Raw genomic sequence first — 19,186 nt, forward strand, 5'->3', positions numbered from 1 at the left:
ATGGCAACCCCTAACTGGCCTTCCCACCTCAGGCTGGCCCTGATCCAATTCATTCTCCATGCTGCAGCTAGAAAGAGCCTTTGAAATGGAAATATGATTCTATCCTTACACTTTTTAGAAGTTTCCATTGGCATTCTCATTATATTTGGGATAAAATCTCACCTTTATAGCTTGGTTTTGGGTGCCCTAAGCCTTCCATCATCTGATGTCTTACATGTTTCATTTCTACCCTCGAATCTTCACCTATTCACTCTGTACCTCTCCACATACTCCTGATAACCCACATTCAACTCTGGCAATACAGACTCTTTCCTGTTTCTCTCCATGTTCTCTCTTGCATCTAGACCTTTGCACATGCTGTTTCCTCTGCCTGGTCTGTATTAGACATGCATGCTTTCTGAGCCCACAAGGGCATGAAACACTAGAAAGAGCACAAGATTTGGAACCAGAGACTCAGCTTAGCAGCTTATTTTTCATCTCTCTGTCATTCATTGTTCCATCCAACAGATATTGGACTGAGCAGTCTTCTCTTCCTCCCTTCCTCCAAAACACACTTTGCCTGGTATCTCCTGCCCATCTTCATGCTGCACTTTAGACATCAACCACCCAGAATAGCTTTCTTTAACACACACACATACACATTTATAAATCTGTCTTTTTTGATATTGCATTGTACCCTGAAATTCTCTATCAGAGCAATTTCTTTCAGTCAGCAAATATGTGTTGGATGCCTTTCTTTGTAGAAGGCATTGTGTTGGGCACTGTTTACTTGTCTATGTCACCAACAGGGTGGCATGCTTCCTGAGGGCTGTGACAGTGACTATTTCACAATTTCATATGCCAGTAACTAGTACTACTCTTGGGTTAGGGTAGATTCTCAAAAATATTGTAGATTCTCAAAATATATGTATTTATGTTGTTAAAAGAAAAACTTTAGCTGAATTAAATTTCAGAGTTTAATTGAGCAAAGAGCCAATTAAATCCGGTAGTTTCCTGAGCCAGAGTAGGCTCCAAGACTCCAGCGCAGCTACGTGGTGAAGACTTATGGGCAGAAAAAGGAAAGTGATGAACAGAAAACGGAAGTGAGATACAGAAACCGCCGGTTTGGTTACAGCTCAGCGTTTGCCTTATGTAAACATGGTTTAAACAGTTGGCCACCTTTGATTGGCCAAAAACCCAGTGATTGGCACAAGAGTAGGCTACAGTCTCTTTACAGTTTTATCTAGGTTATAGTTCACAATGCACAGAGAAATCTTTAGGCTGAACTTAAAATATATAAGGAGGCAGCTTTAGGCTAAACTTGATTATTTAACAATGTATTGATTTGCTGGCTGGATGGATAGAAAGGTGGAAAGATAAGTTGGCAAGCTGGATTTCTGGTTCCATGTCTTGTGCTCTTCCTAGGGCACCTTGCTCTTGTGGGCTCAGAAACTATGTGTTCCTATGACAGACCTTCAGATACCCCTCAGGGAGCACTTGCTGTCCTCCATGGGTGCAGCACTTCCTGTCTGTGGCTACTCGGGTGTCTCTCTCTCATTTTTCCCTGCCAGACTCTCAACCCTTAAAGATTTTAGTCCTTCTCTTTAGGAAGACCAAAAATGAATGAGAGTGGCATGGATTTGAAGGATGAGATGACTGAAAGGAAGAGCTGACTGATTTGTTTAGATTGAGTAGTGCATTGAGGACACTGGTCCCCAGGTGTTGGTAAATAGAAGCCCCTTAAGCAGAGGAGCAGCAGGCTTTTCCTCCTCTTTCATTATGGTGATGATTATTATTTTTGTGGTTCCCATGGAAACAACCAGAGAGAGAGAACAAAAATGTCAGGGAGGTTAGAATGATGAGATGGCCCCCATATGCTTAAGAAGACTATGTGAGTCCATGTGTGCATCAGTGTGTATGTGTGTGTGTGTGTGCACTGCCTGCACGTTCTGCTCCAGCACACTGCTGGGTCAGGAGAAGTTGTGATGCTTATTCATGGCATTTGTTACAGTCAGTCTCAGCAAGGAGACAACTCTCAGCTTTTAGTGGTTAGGGAGTCTCTGTAGTGACAGCTCCATCATTGCAGGGAGAGGACAAACAGAGATGGAGACATTCCTCATGTGAGCCAGAGGAGTGTCAAAGAAGAAGACAGCTCAAAACTGGAGTTGCCGGCCTGCTCGGCGCTCCCCTCTTTTTGTCTGAGAGGGCTCACTCTGGGCACCTACTTTGTGGCTGCAGTGGGTACATTGAAGGCAGCTGTCTGCAGATCTGAGGATCCTTGAGCTCTTCATCTGCTGCTCACACTTTTACTTCTCCCCGCCTTTCTGATTCTTTGCCTAATTTGGGAGTGGGAAGAAAATCCAGCCTAGGGCTCTTCTCAGAATGGTCAGCCAGAGCATTAACATCTTGAGCACCGAGAGAGTTGCAGGAGCCCCTCCACAGGAACCCTTTCATCCACTGTCTCCGCCAAGGCTCTGCAGGGACTGGCGGCTACCTCTTCCGCATCATTTGTGGCCAGGATGTTCAGGAAGCACAAGGCTGTAAGTGGTGTCTTAACCACAGAAGGCATAGAGAGAAACAGACTTGAAAGCCCTGAACTGAGAGGGAATTCATTCTGATTGAGAGGAGAACACAGAAGACCAGAACTAAAGAAGACATTGGGACAAAGGCAGCTGCTGTCCATTTCAGGCTGAGTTTTCTCTTCAGTAGTCGGCATGCATGTCCAAAAAGCTCAGGACTCCATCCCCCAGCCATCCTTGTGTCTAGGCGTGGTTGTCACCCACATGGTTATGTGTGCTACTTCCAGACTTTCCACCAGCTGTGTATCATCATGCAGCGTGATCCTAGAAGACACGTATTAGAAAGGGAGGAAACTCCATTAACCTGGGGTGCTTCAAAACTGCCCAGAGCAGATTTGGCTCTGGCCGTAGCCCTGCCTAATGACCAGGAACACCCACACTGTACTCTACCTGGGCCAAAAAGACTCTTCTCGTGTGTCAGCTGCGGACACTTTGGAGTTGATTAGTTCCAGTACTGACTACTGCCCTAACTGCTGCAGCATCCCGCTGTGGGAGGAAGCAGGATGTCATTTCTATCCCAACCCCTCTGCCCCCAGGCCCCATGATCTGCCACAGCTCCTCTCTGACAGAGTGCAGTCAAGCCTCAGTGACAGATTCTGTCTCCTAGGCCACTCTTCTTTTCCTTCAACACCATTCCATTGACTTTCTCTCCCCATACTTTTTAGTCTTTTTTCCCCCCTTGAATGATTTTCTTCTTTATCTTTCTGACCAGCGACCTTTGATTGCAAGGAGCAACTCAGTTTCACATTACTAGAGTAACAGAGTGTGTTGTAATTGGCCGGGCATTGGTCTTGAAATGTCAGGGAAAGATTTATTTCCTAGTGCAACCTCTCTGGGTGCTAATTTTGCTATAGGCTGCAGGATAATGGTTCCCGCTCACAATGGGCGAGAGTTCCTAATCAGAATACAGGGCTGTAATTGGGTTGAAGGGATTTTAAATCATTAAAGTTGCATTTAGAATGGGGAATAGAAATAGAACCCCAAGATTGAATGACTCACTTAGTATTTAATGAGGGAGCCATGGAGTATTACTTATAATATTCGCCTAATGATCTTACAAGCAATGTAACTCCCCCCGCCCTCTAGGGCCTATTCACAAGGCACAATTCTGCAGTCTCAGACCCACCACTCTGGAGCAATTAATTACTGACCCATCAAGGAGCAATCAGGCTCCGCTCGGCCAGCAGAAGCGCTGATTTCTTCCCCCAGTGTCTCCTCACTCTTCATCTTCCTGCCTGCCTTGGTCTAGGGCCTGCGGGGAGGGGAGTCGACATTTACAAGCCATAAATCATCATGCAGTTTTTGGAAAACCCAGCTCACTATGAGAGGAACAGGGTGACCAAGGGTACCTGTGGAGAGTCTGAGAGGAGAAGGCATCAGAAGGAGGCTATGCTGGCCCTGGGAGTGTACAGTCTACAGGTTTCAGAGGATGTTCTCTGGTGCTGCAGACACTAAGTGTCTAGCACATAGTAGGCACTAAATAAATTGCAGCTTCCCATGATATGACTATGACCAAGGGTTACTAACCCAGCTGAATAGATTTGTTTCAGGTGGCGTGAAGCTCCAGCAGTTATTTTGGACTTAATCTCTAGGTAGATCTGTAAGACCAATGTTCCTGTAAATGGAATTCCTGAGAATTTAGGTTACAGAGAGGCTGCTTAAGACATATGTACCCCTTCCTTCTGCAGGTTCAGAAACAGCTCAGCTCTCTAGAGAGAGCACGCAAGTGTTGTGTGTGTGGTGGTCGTGTCATTGCTAATGGTCCTTCCTAAAGGGAACACACATTTGGGAGTGTGATTGACCTGGTCGAGTGGCACTGGAACCACAGCAGGTCACTGATCCTGAGTTAGCCTCACTTGGCTGTTGGTGCCACGTCGGCCAGGATGCTGGGGACACTCAGTCTGTGTTGCACTGGAGGCCAGGATGCTCCTGGGTGCTGATGGCTCACTGTTCTAAATCTCATCAGGGAATGTCACTTGTCCGTCCTGTGTCAGGCCTCAGAAAGACGACTTCCATCTCTTCTAGTATTTCAAGTAAAACAAAGTCTATGGGTTTCTTTGGTGATACCTCAGTTGTAACTTCTATTGTGTTGACATAACAACTGAGATATCATAATGAGTAAATAACACTGATATGACCTCCTAGGTCAGGCTGGCCTGGGAAAAAGCTTTCTATTTGAGAATGTCTTGAACATAGAGCCTGGAAGGTAGTAGAGACTTCGTGAACACTCGTGAACTTCTGATGAAAGGGCTTCTCCTCAAATACTTGGATCTGATAGCTTCATGCAGGTCATTGTGATGAGGACCTTTTCCATAAAGGAGCCAGAGGGAAAAGGGTTCCGGCATTGGTTGAGTTCCTCCCACTTGGGCAGATGGTAGGCTGCTCATCACACTAAAGTGGACTCATCCGTGATGCCCGTTTTGCAATTGAGGCAAACTTTACCCTTGGGAATAAACTAAAATATTCTACCAGTTCTGCTTTTGCCCAATTAAGGCAAAGAAAGATTCGTGGCAAGTATTTTGCTGTAACAGGTATTGTTATGAATATCCATTGATCCTGCTAGAAATAAATCTGTCATGATGTGGAAAGTTAAAACAGCTAGGATATTCTTTAATTATGAGGTGTTGACTGATTTAAATTTAGTAACTGTTAAAATATCAGTAGTTATATCATTAGTTTACCAAAAATTAAAAGTGATAATGCCTGCTTCATACAAATCAGAGCCAAACAGTGTAACTTTGTGCATGAAAGAACATGCTGTGCTTGATGTAATTAGTATATTCCCCCAAAATTGTGACTCATGATAAATCTAATAATATCTTAAATGCAAAAAAGGTAGTCCAATATTTTAAAGAATCCCATAGAGAATCTTTTGTGTGAAGAGCCTTTGGCGTTGCGGCCATCTCCATTAATTCATCTATTCTGAAACTTCTGGGGTCTGTGCTTTTCCTATAAAGAAGGCCACCTCTGTGCATGCTTCATGGGTGGCAGCTGTCTCCTACCCACGTGCTTGAATGACGAGACTAATGCTCTAGACCACGCACCTCAGTTGCCTGCAGATAGTGTCCCTGTCCCGATCTAATGCCAATGTCTTAGCTTTGCCTTTTCAGTCTTCTATTTCAACTCCAGGCAAGTCTGGCTACTAGCCCATAAAGTGCCTTTTAAGAAGTGGGAAACTTGCCCCCGTAGGCAAATATAGCCCCACAAGTACAAGGCGTGGTGAACTTGTAGCATCTCTATGTGAATTCCGTCAGGAGATGTAGCCCCAACCTGGGGTTGATAGCTTAACAAGCAAATAGTACCTGGACTTCAGCCTCACATGCTTCCTTGGCCAGGCACCCTTGTGCAGTGAACAACCTGCACAACCTGTATACAGCAGCCCTGCAGCTTGGACTGTTTTGATCACAACCAGAGCAATGTCCAAATAATCTGCCAAATATTTGTGCAAACATTATGTTCATGTTTAATCGGGAGCGATAGTTTTGTCTTCTTTATAAAAGGAGCAAATCCCCAGAAGCTGGTCAGGAGCACCAGCTGTTTACTGCCTGCAGAAGCCGCTGCTTATCTCCTTGTAACCACCTGCCTCTTAGAGATCATGTCTTAATTAACTCAGTGTTATCAAAACTGAAATTGTAGCAACACCTGTAACATCAAATTGTAAATGAGAGATAAAGGGGGAAAAACTCTGCTGACCAAGAAAGGGAGCTTGGAAACTCTCTCTTGAGCTGTAGGTAGTTGGCTCCAGGTTGATTGGTGGCAGTCTGCTGAGAATTAGAATCAGAGACTCATACATTATTCCATTTGGAAAGTGTCTTGGAGGTCTTCTAATCCAGTGGTGGTCAAATATTTTTTATCTCATGACACACAACTTATTCTTCTGATGTTCAATATATGCTGATATTTTCTATTTTATCTTATTTATTTCATTTTAAAAACTCACGGATAAAAATCATTCCATTGATTTCATGACCCACTACAGATTCACAACACAAAAAAACTGGAAAACAGTGATGTAGTCTAATTTCTAAAATCTAAAGGACTGAGGGACAAAGAGGTGAAGTGACTTGCCCCGGGTAGGTTATCAGTGGGTATTGTTCTTAAACCCAGGTCTATAGACTCCCTCCCAGTGGTTCTGTTCCCTGAAATCTACTAAATTCTGCCACTGCAGGACAGCTCCGAGAAGAAAAGCAAGTCTTAACTTAAGAAACAGGTCTTCTTGGGACCCTGCTACTTTCCGGATAACAAGCCTGAGTACCTACATAATACAAAATGTACCCTTTGAGGAGAAGGTCAGGTGCTTTCTCACATAAAAAGCATTGTAACAACTGGTGGTTTGAACGCCTCACTGCATTCCCATGCTGAAACAGTAGGGGCGCCATGCCTCCTAGTCTTGGTGAGCCTCCTTAAAACCTTAACACCCTGTGCTCTACCCCATCCTTTTCTTCCTCTTTCATTTCCTTCCCCCACTTTGCACCATTGAGATCCCTTTCTACTCACCACCCCCTAAACTTCTCCTTTGAGACACTGGACTAAAATCGTGAACAAAATAGGCATTCTCACAGAAACAGTAATTCCAAATTAAAACAAAAACAAAAGCAGTAACTTATTACACTATGAGAGACCTTTTTACATTTCTCTGCCTATATTTGCATGTTTTTAACATATTGAAAGAAGTTTTCCAAATGAAAGCTGTCTGATTGGTAACCACACCCATGTGTCCCATGGCAGTCACTCGTGGGAGCAATCTTGGGATCTAAACAGAGTTTGTTTAGTATCTTTGTGTGGTATTGATCAGCATCATTGATAAAGTATGCACTGGATGTTGTTTTCCCAGATCAGGGATTGATTTGGAAGATGGTTAGCCAGCACCACTATGATCTGACTGTGGGCAGGCGGATCATCACACTGGGGGGACACATAGGCCCAAAGAGGATCCAGCAGATTGAATTTGCATTATGCAAGCCCCCTTTGAGTTTCACCCACTAGCACATGCTTCTGTGACAGTTGAATTACCAGCTATAGAACTGGGGTGGCAGGAAGCAGGCCATCTCCATTAGCTTCTTTTGAATCCATTTCTTCATTTCCTTTGGCCCTGGGCATGTGGGCACAAACTTACTCGAATGGCCATATTCACAGAAGCACAACTTTCTACAGCAAGGTATTATCAGCTGTTGCTGTCTTCGGAAAGGCTTTATTGTCTCCTAGCTAAGGGAATCCCTCCTTTCCTTCCAGGGTTCACTACCAGCGCCCCACCCCCACGCATACATATACAGACACTGAGCTGTGTTTTGATATGTGAGGTGGGCTATCAGCTGTGATTTAATGACGAGTATCACTGTCAGACTTTACAAAATGGAATTTCATCAGATGGTGAGGGAAGACTTCTGCATAGAAACTACAGAGGGAAATTTGACAGCTTTTTCCATTCAGTTATCAAAGCATTTGCAGTTCAAAGCAGGTGAAACAATAATGTAATCTTAGCACTGAATGCTCATTTGTATCTGAGTGTTTCAATAAATAAAATGGTCAGGGAAATGAAAGCAGACCTGTTGTCTCCAATCCACTAAATTTAATATCCAGGGTATTGACTGACAGCTTTTTATCACCATAATTAGTATGGATTGTTCCTGAGGCCATTGATCAATCTTTCCTACCTCTATGGACTTGAGTGGCTGTTTTCTTCCTCTCCTGCCCTCCCCACCCTTTATTTTAATATTGATCGTGCCAGTTGTGTTCCACCGCAGAGAGGCTGCTCACTTAGGCAAAAGAAAACTCAGGATGAAGAGAGATGGCTGAGCAGCAGCCATTTCTAGGTGGCATCCACCTGTGACATCACTCTACCTCATCTATGTTGACCTTGTAACTTGACCTCTTGGTACCAGTGACCTTCAGCTCCTCAATACGATAACCAGGCACACCGTCTTCCCCACTGGGTGGAAGTTACACAAAGACTAGCTACAGAAGCCGTGGTCAGGAAATATCTGTTGAATTCATGAATACCCCTTCTGTAATGTTGTCAAGCTAAATAAGGGAGTTTGGATAGACCAAGGAACACAACCTTGTGTGTGTGTGTGTGTGTGTGTGTGTGTATGTTTGAATGTATGTGAATATCTATGATGTAACCTGTTCCATATAATGCAGGCCAGAAACCTAAGACCTTCTTATTTCTCACCGAGCTCTTCCAATTTGATGTTGTCCTCTTCTCAGTCTGTCTATCACTAGGCGTATACGGTGTGTAGGTATACACCTCACTATCTCTTGCCTTAACTGTTGCCATAATTCACTATCTCATTTCCCTGCCTCCTGTCCTGCCTCACCTAACTCCAACCTTGCATCTTCAAATCTTCCACACAGAGGACAGGCAGGTTTTTGTAAAATATAAACTATTATAGTCCTTGACTGTTTCACATCTAAGATCCTTGTCATGGCACAAAAAGCTTTCTGTAACCTGATCTCTCCTCCCTACTTCTCAGCCCCATTTCCCACCATTCCTACAGGTCACACTGCTGGAAGGTAGAATTGCAATGGATCCGTTCAGTCATTGCCTGCTTCACGCCTCTAAGTCTTGGCTTATGTTCTGTATTTTGCCTGCAGTAGCCTTCACATTCTTTTTCTCCTTGGCCACTCTTTCTCATTCTTCAGGAATTCATTCAGATGGTATCCCTTTCAGGAAACATTACTTTAGCTCCCAAAGTATCCGAACTATGACTTTTTCTGTCTTCTGAGATTTTAATAGAATATATACATATACTTTTTTATGCATCTCTATCCTATACTAGAGAATAAACCTGAAGGGGACAGGGGCTACGTGGTTTTTCGTTCTGTCTCCAATGCAAGGCACAACTCCTGGCTCCTAGGATGTGTTTCTTGCACTGGAAAGAAGTATTCCTAAGAAGAGAGTCAGTGTGCCTGAAGAGCTGGGGCATACATTATGTCAAACTGGATCTGTCTTGGGACACACAACGTGCTGTGCCATATAACTGCACCACGAACAAAAGCGAGGTGGATCTCACTTATTCTCAGGGTGGTGAGAAGAGATGGGAAAATATCCCTTCTTCTTATAAGCAGGTAGCAAGGTATCTTTCTGACCTTAAAGAATTCAGGTGTTGTCAACTGGTTATTTTCCACAGTGTGGAAGAGTTTTGCTATCTATACACTGGAGTAGTTTTCTCATTGGTCTTCCTAATGGAATTTCCCTCTGCCCCACTTTGTAGTACAGATCACCCATTTGCATAACTTTTCGGAAGGATGCTTCCTGAGGGGAGAGATGCCATGCATTTCTGGGAGTGCCCCATGAGCCCACACTGACCTTAGACAGCCCCCTTGCTCCCAATCTGCAAGCTGTGTGGAGCCTGTCTTCCCTGTTCCTGGCACAGCAGCCTGCCCCAACAGTTACAGGTGCTCGCACACATCAAATGCCTCTTGTTGAGGCATTAAACCAAGTGCAACTTTTCCGAACTGAGCACAACAGAGCCAAATTGGACTGGAAAGGCCACAGGTTCCTCAGGGCCTCAGGGAGCCTGTGGCATCTACATTGCAAATTGGCCCCATAGAAAAGCAACTGATGCCAGGGCCGGCCTTCATTTCATCCCTACCATGCCTATTGTGGAACCGCAGGGGCAGATGTTTCTGGAGGTGACCGCCTGGGCGCACACAGGCGCAGGCAGCACCTCCTCCTCACCGGCCTCTCTCCAGGCTTATGTAAGACAGATTGGACAGACTGATACCAATTGGCACATCGTCCCTGCCAGATTGGAATCAGGCCCTTCTACCATCTTTGGGGTCCACGGTGGCTCCAAATAAAATGTACAGAAGGAATGTGATTCTTAGCTACAGCCAATTTTCCCTTTGCTATTGCGCTGGCATTTCTAATCTCGGGCATTTTGTTGCTGTGGAGCACACCACTACAAATACAGTCTCCAGCTTAGGAACGTTGAGATTTGCAATCATGTGAAAATGCCTTTTCGTATTCCTACAGTTTGTCTGGATAATTTATTTATTTTAATGTATTATTTAGTGCAAAACTATTAAGTGAGCTTCAGGTTATATTGTTACGTTGTTGCTAATTCAGTTACATATGGCTGGGGCAGGTGACAACAAGGAGGGAAGATACCTATGGCACCTGCTCTTTCCTTTCCTGAGATTTCTGCAGCTTCTGCATGTAGATACTTAACCCTAAAAGGGAAGGTAGTGTGCATATTTTGCCTCCTGGATTCGTGTCTCAACTGTACCACTGAGTGGCTGTGAATTTAGTCAAGACACTTAATTCTTCCGAGACTTAATTTCCTTACCTCTAAAGGTCTTCCCAGGCTGGAGGGTTAAATGACGTGGTGCAGATGAAAATGCAGAGCAAGGAGCCTGACACACAACAGAGGGTGGGCAAATGCCTGTCCTCTCCCTTGCTGTCCCTTCAAGTGGCCTTCATCAGCAGACCTAGGCATAGCACCTCTGAACTTCAAATAGTCTATTAGTAGCAGGACCACATTTGAAGTTATGCGTATGGTATACACCAACTTGTATGTGTGTTGTTTAGGAAGGTCATTCTACAGAGTATATCTGATGCAGACCGGGACTGTGTTTTTCGTTGTTGTTGTTCTATTCCCAGTTGTGCAAGGCACAACTCCTGGCACCTAGGATGTGTTTGTTGCACTAGAAAGAAGTAATCCTAAGAAGAGAATCTGTGTGCCTTAAGAGCTGGGGCATCTTTATGTCAAAGTGGATCTGTTATGGTGCATGCAACAGGCTGTGCCGCATGAGGCTATGTACCAAAATATTTACAGTAGAAATTTTTGAGTGATGAGATTATAGGATAATTTCCCTCCTTCCTTCCTTCCTCCCCTTCCTCCCTCCATTTTCCCCCGTCCCATCTTCTTTCCTTGCATCCTTCCTGTTCATGTATTTTTTTCGTAAAGTTTATATCTTATAAAGTAGTAAAAGATACAAAAATACCCTAGCTCTTTAAAAATTGATTTCAGCCAGGTGCAGTGACTCACATCTCTAATTCCAGCACTTTGGGAGGCCAAGGCAGGAGGATTGCTTGAGCCCAGGATTCCGAGACCAGCCTGGGAAACATAGTGGGACCCCCCCCCACCAAAAATAATAATAACTAATAGTAATAATCATAATAATAATAATGGGTGTGGTAGTGCATGCTTTTAGTCCCAGCTACTCAGGAGGACAAAGAGGGAGGATTGTATGAGACCGGCCTGGGCAACATAGTGGGACCCCATTTCTACAAAAAGAAAAGAAAAAAAATAAATTATCTGAGCATGGTGGTACATGCCTGTAGTTCCAGCTACCTAGGAGGCTGAGGCAGGAAGATCACTTGAGCCTGAGAGGTCAAGGCTGCAGTGAGCTGTGATTGTGGCACTGTAATTACTGTAATTACTCCAGCCTGAGTAACACAGGGAGATCCTCTCTCTCTCTCCATATATACATATGTATATATATATATATATATATATATATATATATATATATATATATATATATATATTTCATGGGAAGCCAAATGAGGAGGGCAACATTTGAGTCAAACAAGGAAGCCCATCTCTGATGAGCTTTCACAATGTCCTCCTTCTTTCACCGTGAGGAGACCTCAGGTTCACTGTGTCAGCTCACCCTATCTGACCCACATCCCCATCACTTTCCTCCCAGTGGGTGGAAGGATTCACCCAAAGCTCCAACACGCACAGCTGAAGGAGCACGAGTTGAGACCTGAAGTCTGAACATGGCTTAAGATGGAACGCCGTTTCCTGAAACCATGCCCCGTATCTCCAGATGAATAAACTTGGAACATAGAAAATTCCCAAGGGTGTGGAACACTGGTAGGTTCAGAATAAATAAATATGTCTGCTTATTAATATAGTAGTACTGTTAGCTCAGAAAACTGTAGAAAAGAGAGCTATTAAAATTCAATGATTGGGAGAGAAACATGAGAAGAGAAATCAAAAGAAAGGGAAGAGGAGCATAGTAAAGAGGCCCATTAGGAAGTGGAGAAAGAAAGAAGAGGTGGGAGAAAGGAACCAGAGGAAGACCACGGTAAGCAGGAGGAATGGAGAAAACAGTGGGAAGAGACAAAACCCCAGCAGGCAGCAGAGAAGCGTTGATCCTGTTTCCAGGGTCAGTATGAGACTTAGGCACTGCAGCAGCCAGACCACGTGACTAATTGTCCTTAATTGTCATGAGTTGACTCTCCAGGCTGGGGGTCCCAGGCACTTTTCTCAGATTGGTTGGCTGACACTGCAGGCTTCTGTCATCATGCAGCCTTGCTGTCTGCTTCATGCTGGCAGACATTGGCTTGAGGTCCACCTTCACTCTAACCATCTTCTCCGTTTTAACCTAAAGATTGTTTCCATATCGAGAAAGAGGGGATGTTCTAGATGGCACCTGTGCATGTGTGGGAGGGAGGCAGAGATAGAGAACCTTGTAACTCCCTCCACCAGCCTGCCAAGTCCCTGCTGTAATCCCAGGCCCAGCTCAGCAAGGGAAGCTTAAACCTAAGTCAATTTGAGGGTGGCCTGGGATCATGGGCTCCGTGGCAACCAGGGTGGATATTGGTCTGTAATAAGTCAGTGAAATAGTGAGGTTCAATTACTTACATGTTCCCTGAAGCTGAAACAATTGCCATTATCCCACATAATATTGCTTGACCTACATTTTTACTTGAAAGCCTTCAGCTAACAATTAGTTTGAATGTTGAGTTATAAATGAACACATTCATATTCCAGAAATGAAAAGGGAAAGGGGAGTGATACCAACACGGCTCCCTCTCTTCCCGCCCTCTCTTTCCTTTGCCTTTTGTATGATATTTCAACTTAGCTTTTCCAAGATGGAAGTCATTGGAGAGTTTGTCTAAAGGGGGACCATTCAGAGGTAATGAGACAACTGGGCTTTATCTGGGAAAGGGGCAGCTTGGTCGGTGCCAAGGAGATTTGAGCCATCTGGATTAAAATGGTCAAACTCTCCGCAGGAAGCAATTAAGCAGCTCCATGTGGAGAAGCCACGTGACCACGCCAAAGGAGCTGCCAAGAACAGGAGATTAGTAAACAAAGTACCCAGCAGGAGGTGTCCAGGTTGGTCACTGCTCTGGCCACTTGGCATTTGCACAGCTTCCTCTGTCTTTGGCATCCCATCTGTCTGTACCCACAGCCTACCTATAAGCTATCTGCAGAGTTTAAACAAACTCAGGCAGAACTGAGTTTATTTAAAATGTTAAAAGTCCAGGGCTCGGGTGATCGTGATGATACATCTTAGACTCACACAGCATCCCTTCCCAGGTGTTCTGGCAATGCCTCGGATGTCTTTGATGACTCTTCGCTGCCTGTGAAAAGCCCAGAGGTGTACTGCCATTGAGCTGCGATGTTTAATTCCCTGAGCGTGATCATTTAGCCATAGATAGTCACAACTGGGTTAGGAAGCATGTACCTAGATTATTTTAGTGATTATTTTAGTGCCGGTCTTTGTGAAAGCTTGAGAAAAAGCTGAGTTCTCCTTTCACTCTAAGAATCTTTTTGTTTAAAAAAAAATCCATAAAAGGCATGTAAAACTCCCAGACATATGCCTTTTTTCATTCAGTGTACATTTATTAGCCAGGCACTGTATTAGCCCTTGTGGTTAGAATAGAGACCCGTTCTCATGGATGTTACCCCTGGCCAAAAGAAAGACGCAGAGGCATTGGGACTGTCAGCTACTCCCTACATAGAGTCCTCTTCTGATTTCCAGTCAAGTCAGTTTCACACAACACAAAACTAACTTTTCTCAAGGATTTGTAACATCTTGAAGTTTTCATGTGACCTGCAATGGGCTAATGTAGAATGGTAGTTCAAGTAAAAGATTTATCCTTTTTTTTTTTTTTTTTTTTTTTTTTTTTGAGACAGGGTTTCAGTCTGTTGCCTAGGCTGGAGTACAGTGGTATGGTCAGAACCCACTGCAGCCTCAACTCCCCAAGCTCAAGAGATCCTCCCTCCTCAGCCTCCTGAGTAGCTAGAAGTAGAGGTGCACCACTATGCCTGGCTAATCTTTTTTTTTCCTTTATTTAAAAAAATTTTTTTTGTAAAGACAGTGTTTCACTTTGTTACCCAGGCTGGTCTCAAACTCCTAGGGTCAAGTGATCCCCCTGCCTTGGTCTCCAAAAGTGCTCAGATTACTGACATGAGCCACTGTGCCTGACTTTTACTTTTTTTGAATGAGTTAACGGCAGCTTACTGTGCAGCAATGTATCATGGGAACAATCTATGATATGTTCTCATTGTTCCTAATGTTCTTGACTTCCATGACACATAACTCCCTAGTTTTCTTTGTCCAGCTTTTCTAAGCTCTGCATGGTGCACTACACCATCTTGAATGTTGTCATGCTAAAGACTTCATCCTATGTCTTCTGTACCCTGTCTGCATGTACACACCTGGAATCTCTTTCATAAATTGATATCTTTGCTCCAACATCTCCACTGAGTTCCTGACTTATAGGTATAGTGATCTGATAGAAAGTCCCACACAAACATATAATGATCATTTTGTTTTACTCAAACCTTGTTAATGATGCCTACTCCTTCTCAATAAAGGACACCACCTTCCACGTTGTTGCTCACACCAAAATGCCGCATACAAACTTTATCCCTCCTTTATCTTTCCTCCCCATCTCGTAATATCCATTGTTTCTAATCGATTCACACATTTTGTTGAGTGAACTTCCAAAATATATCCCCACTTCATACCTTTACCTCTATTTCAACAGGCTTTAGTTTAATCCGCTGTCATCAAAACGACAATAGCTGCATGAGCCTCCTAGCTGACCTCTTTGTTATCTTGACTTTCCCTTGATACTCTGTTCTCCAAAAGAAAGGCAAAAACATATTTTTAAGGAATGAAATAGTGCCATTTGTAGCAACCTGGATGGAATTGGAGGCCATTATTTTAAGTGAAGTAACTCAGGAGCGGAAAAACAGACATCATATGTTCTCACTCATAAGTGGGAGCTAAACTCTGAGGACGCAAAGGCATAAGAATGATACAATGGACTCTGGGGACTTGGGAGGAAGGGTGGCGGGGCGAGGAACAAAAGACTACACATTGCATGCAGTGTACACTGTTCGGGTGATTGGTGCACCAAAATCTCAGAAATCACCACTAAAGAACGTATCCATGAAACCGAATGTCACCTGTCCCCGAAAAACCTATTGAAATAAAAAATTTAAAAAAAATTCAAATATTTTTATTATTATTATACTTTAAGTTCTGGGGTACATATGCAGGATGTGCAGGTTTTTTACATAGGTATACATGTGCCATTGTGGTTTGCTGCACCCATCAACTCATCATCTACGTTAGATATTTCTCCTAATGCCATCCTTACCCCCACTCACCAGCCCCTGACAGGCCCCAGTGTGTGATGTTCCCCTCCTTGTGTCCATGTGTTCTCATTGTTCAACTCCCACTTATGAGTGAGAACATGCAGTGTTTGGTTTTCTGTTCTTCTGTTAGTTTGCTGAGAATGATGGTTTCCAGCTTCATCCATATTTCTCCAAAGGACATGAACTCATCCTTTTTTATGGCTGCATAGTGTTCCATGGTGAATATGTGCCACATTTTCTTTATCCAGTCTATCATTGATGGGTATTTGGGTTAGTTCCAAGTCTTTGCTATTGTGAACAGTGCTGCAATAAACATACGTGTGCATGTGTCTTTATAGTAGAATGATTTATCTTTTAGTTATATACCCAGTAATGGGATTGCTGGGTCAAATGGTATTTCTAGTTCTAGATCCTTGAGGAATTGCCACACTGTCTTCCACAATCAATGAACTAATTTACACTCCCACCAACAGTGTAAAAGCATTCCCATTTCTCTACATCCTCTCCCTCACCCCTTCCACCATGTGAGGACACAGCGAGAATGTGCCATCCATAAACCGGGCAGTGGGGCCCAACCAGACCCTGAATCTGCCAGCACCTTAATCTTGGATGTCCTAGCCTCCAGGACAATGATAAATAAATTTCTGTTGTTTATAAGGAAAAAAATTAAATATTTTTAAAACATGAATCTTCTATTATATTGCTCCCCTGCTTAGAACCTTTCATACTTAAAATCCAGTCTACTTATCAAGGTGTCAAGACCTACACGAGTTAGCCCCTACTTTCCCCTCACCTCCATGTCCACTGTGTCCCACTGGGCCTCTTGGCCAGCCATGCTGCTCTCCTCTCGGCTCCGGGACGCCACATTTTCTCCTCTCTCAGCACACTGAGTGTGCACAGCATTGTGTACTGTACCCAATGTGTAGTCTTTTATCCCTCACCTCCCTCCCACTCTTTCTTCCAAATCCCAAAGTCCATTGTATCATTCTTGTGCCTTTGGCATCCTCATAGCTTAGTTCCCACTTATGAGTGAGGACATAAGATGTTTGGGTTTCCATTCCTGACTTACAATTTGCCTGGTTCTCCCCTCTTCTGTCCCCCAGTCCTCCACCTGACAGGCTCCTGCTTACCATTTGGGTTTCAGGACAAATGTTACCTCCTCAAAATGGACTTCCTTAAAGACATAACAACCTTTCACTTGGGCTCAACTCTAGCCCAATGCCCTGTGTGTTGTCTTCGGAGAACTTACTGCTCTCTGCAATAAACTTGCATCTTTTTTCTTCCTGTTTCTCTTCTGAGTAGTGCATAGGCTCCAGGAGGGGAGGGCCTATGCCCTGTCTTTTGTGTGCTATACCCCAGTGGCTAGAACTTTGCTTGGTGCAGATTTGATGCTCAAAAAGTATTTGCTGAACAAATGAATGAATGATTACATAAGTGAATAATGCACTCTTCTTTCCATAATTTTGGTTTTCCTGGCACCAAAACACTTAGGAAATAATATGGTCTTCAAAGTTTCTGCATGTCTTATCTCTGCCAAGGACAGTTGCCTCTCCGGAGAACTGAATTGTCGACATATGGCTGAAGTGTGATCCAGTGGACTGGAGGTATGCACTGAGTATATTCCTAATATCACGTTGCCCTGTGGCATGGGGCTTAATGCCTTTCCATTTTTGGCTGAAGGGCTTCACTGCAAATGCTTTCAATCATATCCATGTTTGGTTGAAATTTTATGGCAAAAGATAACTTAGAGACAAGGATTTTTATTTGAAAATTACATTAAAATATACTGTTATTTCTAAATATATGTTCAAAATTTCAATGAATCAACACAGAGTTTTTATTGAACTTCTCTATTCACATAGCATATGAATTCTCACTTTCTGTCACAAGAGAAGTAAAACTTAGGCCAAGCATGGTGGCTGATGCCTGTAATTCCAACACTTTGTGAGGCTGAGGTGGGAGGATCACTTGAGCTCAGATGTTCGAGACCAGCCTGGGCAACATAGAGAGACCTCATCTCTACTAAAAATAAAATTTAAAAAATTTTAAAAAATATTTTTATAATAAAAATAAAAGGCATGGTGATGTGTGCACCTGCAGTCCCAGCTACTTTAGAGTCTAAGGCAAGAGGATTGAAACCAGGAGGTCAGAGCTACAATGAGCCATGATTGTGCCACTGCACACAAGCCTGGGTGACACAGCAAGGCCCTATCTCAAAAAAAAAAAAAAAAAAAAAAAAAAAAAAAAAAAAAAAAAAAAAAAGAGACAGAGAGAAAGAAAACTATGGTCCAAAGTTTAATCCCTGTTTAAAACAGAACGGGCTAGTCTCCTTGGTAGCAATGCATGTGGCAGGAAGTCCCCAGAAATTTATGTGCATGCCTATGTGTGTGTACGTTTGTGTTGTGTGTGTATTTATATATGTGCACATATATAAATATATGTATTTTTTATATATACATATATATTTTTTCTTGATTCCTTGACTTTTTAATCTCCTTTCTCTCTATGTTTAAAAGTTTTAGAAAACAAAAACAAAACAAGCCTTCCAGTCAAAAAATTTTCAGCACAAGATAAGTGAACAGAAGGGATCTATCATCCTGAACTGTTTTTCATAAGCCTTCATACAGCTTTAATGCAACACAGAGGTTTGGACACAAGGGTAAGCATCAGGCATCGAGGAGCTCAAATTCCAATTCGTGATGCTGCAGTCCTCTGCAGTCCTAAGCAAGCCAGTATGGCTGCTCAGTGTCACAGTATGCCCTGTGTAAGATAGGGATTGTTTTAGGAAGATCAGTGAAAGTTTAAGAACTGACCTCCTGAAAACAGTTGTAGATTCCTCAGACATCAAAGTCAGCTAAAGAAAAATAAGTGCTAGGCTTCAGATTCATCGCACCAAATGACTTCCTATCTAAATTCTACAATAGGTAAAATAGAATACGTTTCTTCTAACCAATCAACACCACTTGGAAGCTGGATCTGTCTCCATAATCCTGGTTAGTAATAAAGATGCTTCACCACTAGTTTGAATTTTCTGGCGAGGTTGTCAGTGATTCGTGCTTGAGGCAGAAGGAAACCAGTTTGATTCTCGCATAGGCGTTTGGCAAAGGAAGAGAGAAACTTTGCTTTTCTCAACAGAGGCTAGAAATGACTCAGACTACAAATAGCTGCTCTGCCATACAACAAAAGGTCATCCCTCCCTCTCATTTTTCCTTTCCCATTTGTCCTGAATGAAGGCCAAGCTATATTTCCCCATCTCTCTCTTCTCATCTCAAAATG

General features: G+C 43.3%; 1 protein-coding gene across 41 annotated transcripts in view, besides 1 other annotated feature; it reads left to right on the forward strand.

Moving 5' to 3' along the window:
* NTM (neurotrimin) overlaps positions 1-19,186 on the forward strand; it is a 966,208-nt gene that overhangs the window by 722,324 nt on the left and 224,698 nt on the right. The window lies entirely within an intron of this gene.
* Positions 962-1,171: an enhancer, noted in NCBI's record as "active region_5761". NCBI's record gives its function as "activates an Ori minimal core promoter by ATAC-STARR-seq in GM12878 lymphoblastoid cells {active_cell/tissue: GM12878}" and the evidence as "EXISTENCE:reporter gene assay evidence [ECO:0000049][PMID:35858748]".

The sequence above is a fragment of the Homo sapiens genome, chromosome 11, assembly GCF_000001405.40.
Source record: "Homo sapiens chromosome 11, GRCh38.p14 Primary Assembly".
Classification (NCBI taxonomy): Eukaryota; Metazoa; Chordata; class Mammalia; order Primates; family Hominidae; genus Homo; species Homo sapiens.